Below are 3,013 nucleotides of genomic sequence, written 5' to 3'. Positions count from 1 at the left end.
GATATTTTAAGTTAAAAAGAGTGAACTGTTAAGTAAACCGAGAAACTAAAGTTTATTTCTAAATTGTATAGCACTGCACTTTTTAAGTTGATACAAAGTTATTATGTTATTAAATATTTTATAATAAAAGCTATGGGTGAATTAAAAGTGCTTATGTTACTGGACGATCTTTGTTCTTAGGGCTCCTAAGATGGGGCAGGCTGCTCCCAAGATGGCAGCAAGTCTTTTGTTCTCTGACCTGGGGTTCTTGGCCTCACGGATTCCAAGGAATGGAATCTTGGGCCATGCAGTGTTATAGCTCTATTAGAAGCCGTGGGTCACAGAAGAGAACCGTGGAACCCAGCAACCAGTGTTCAGCTCGAGCAGGACGAGCCCGGGCACTTAGCTGTGCAGCAACAATGGCAAGCCTTTAGCCTGGTTGGGAGTGGCAATGGGCGCCTCGCTGGATCAGGAGCACAGAGGACACCCTGCCGGATCTGGAGTGGTGGACATCAGCCGCGGGTCTGCGATGACAACCATCAGCAGTGGTGGACTGCAAGCAGAAGCTCAGCTAGAGCTGTAAAAAACACTGACCAGAAGAGTGTACAGTTGCAAGATTTAATAGAGTGAAAACAGAGCTCCCATGCGATTGGAGGGGATCCAAAGCGGGTTGCCGCTCCCTGCTCAAATGCCTGGGTTTATATCCCCATCATTGTTGCTCCCCCTGTGCTCTCAGCTGATAGATGATTTGACTATTTCTTTACCTCCTGCTTTTAGCCTAATTTGTATTTTACTGAGTCCTCTTTACTACTTGATTGGTCAGGTGTGAGCTGAGTTACAAGCCCCATGTTTAAAGGTAGGTGTGGTCACCTTCCCCAGCTAGGCTTATGAATTCTTAGTCAGCCTAGGAAATCCAACTAGTCCTGTCTCTCACTTATTCCACTATGATTCACTTTATTATTATAATTAAATAGATTAGAAATGTTTGTACTAAAGAACGACTTGCCCTTTCATTAGATTCTTCAGAGGAGAAAGGAAACCTGTGACATCGCAAATGCCATGCTAGACATTCGACTAGCCTTCTATGGCTAGACTACTCGCCATAAAGAGGACCTCACAGAAAAACAAGAGGCTTGGGAAAAGTAGAGGTGACTTGGTAAAGGCTGCAGAATATGAATGAAAAAGAAGCAAAAAACCAATAACCCTTACTTTGTTCCAGAATAAATGTTCTATTAGAGCAATTTCTTTTTTTATCGTCTTCTCAGAAGTCAGTCTTGAAAATCACACAATGGGTATTAAAGTGTAACACTTACGGTGATGAATATACACTTGTATAGAGAATCACAAATGTACATTTGGTTGTTATTTCATTACACATGTAGAGATCTCAGTTATGTGCACTCCAGTTGGGGAATGTTCTTCATTGATTGATTATAACCACAGAAGGAAGCCTTCCAAGAGCTCAATATGGAGGAATTTCTACTCAAATTTACATCAAGATAGTAGTTTTCATCTGTATTTCAGAAACTGAAACTTTATATGGATAAAATATCATATTATTATGTTATGCTATCTTGTCAAAATATGTGGATTAGACAAAATATTTGTTAACATTTAATGATGGATATACAAGAAGGCTTACACACACACACACACACACACACACACAATTATGCACACATCACAGTATACCAGTGATTTGTTTATATATTTTCACTAAACTAGTTCAAAATATATAACATGTAAATTTTAATGTATTTTATGTATTATTTGTTGTTTTATTAAAGTTCTTAAAGATACTATTTAAAATTTGTTCCACCATTAAGCTTAACTTATACTGTAGTGAAGAAAGTTGTTTGTAATTTACATTATACTCTTAGCTATACTTTATTTTAGCAATGGTAATTCCCAATCTTCTATGCCAAAATTCTATACATGTGGTTGTACCTTACTAACTTATTATTGTTAAATTTGCACATATATTAACATTGCTATTGTGTGAAATGCCTTCAAAAATACTGAAATTGAATAGGAGTGGTGAGGGATGGCATCCTTGTCTTTGTGCCAGTTTTTAAGGGAATGCTTCCAGCTTTTGCTCATTCTATATGATATTGGCTGTGAGTTTGTCACAAATAGCTCTTATTATTTTGAGATACATTCCATCAATACCTAATTTATTGAGTTTTTAGCATGAAGAGGTGTTGAATTTTATCGAAGGCCTTTTCTGCATCTATTGAGATAATCATGTGGTTTTTTGTCATTGGTTCTGTTTATGTGACAAATTGCATTTATTGATTTACATATGTTGAACCAGCCTTGCATCCCAGGGATGAAGCCAACTTGAACGTGGTGGATTAGCTTTTTGATGTGCTGCTGGATTTGGTTTGCCAGTATTTTATTGAGGATTTTCACATCGATGTTCATCAGGGATATTGGCCTGAAATTTTCTTTGTTTGTTGTGTCTTTGCCATGTTTTGATATCCAGATGATGCTGACCTCCTAAAATGAGTTAGGGAGGAGTTCCTCTTTTTCTATTGTCTGGAATCGTTTCAGAAGGAATGGTACCAGGACCTCTTTGTACCTCTGGTAGAATTTGGCTCTGAATCCATCTGGTCCTGGGATTTTTTTGGTTGGTAGGCTATTAATTGCTGCCTCAATTTCAGAACTTGTTATTGGTATATTCAGGGATTCAACTTTTTCCTGGTTTAGTTTTGGGGGGGTGTATGTGTCCAGGAATTTATCCATTTCTTCTAGATTTTCTAGTTTATTTGCATAGAGGTGTTTATAGCAGTCTCTGATGGTAGTTTGTATTTCTGTGGGATCAGTGGTGATATCCCCTTTATCATTTTTTAATTGTATCTATTTGATTCTTCTCTCTTTTCTTCTTTATCAGTCTGGCTAGTGGTCTATTTTGTTAATCTTTTCAAAAAGCCAGTTCCTGGATTCACTGATTTTTTTAAAGTATTTTTCGTGTCTCTATCTCCTTCAGTTCTGCTCTGATCTTAGTTATTTCTTGTCTTCTGCTACCTTTTGA

General features: G+C 37.5%; 1 long non-coding RNA gene across 1 annotated transcript; it reads left to right on the top strand.

Annotated features, from left to right (window-relative positions):
• The first annotated feature begins 352 nt into the window (after positions 1-352).
• Positions 353-1,220, top strand: LOC124905057 (uncharacterized). The gene is made up of 2 exons (XR_007067936.1): positions 353-835; positions 997-1,220. It is a non-coding gene; the product is annotated as an uncharacterized LOC124905057 (long non-coding RNA).
• Positions 1,221-3,013: the final 1,793 nt, after the last annotated feature.

Source organism: Homo sapiens, chromosome 21 (genome assembly GCF_000001405.40).
Source record: "Homo sapiens chromosome 21, GRCh38.p14 Primary Assembly".
Lineage (NCBI taxonomy): Eukaryota > Metazoa > Chordata > Mammalia > Primates > Hominidae > Homo > Homo sapiens.
The sequence above is the reverse complement of the archived record's forward strand: the minus strand, read 5'-3'. Positions and strand labels throughout refer to the sequence as shown.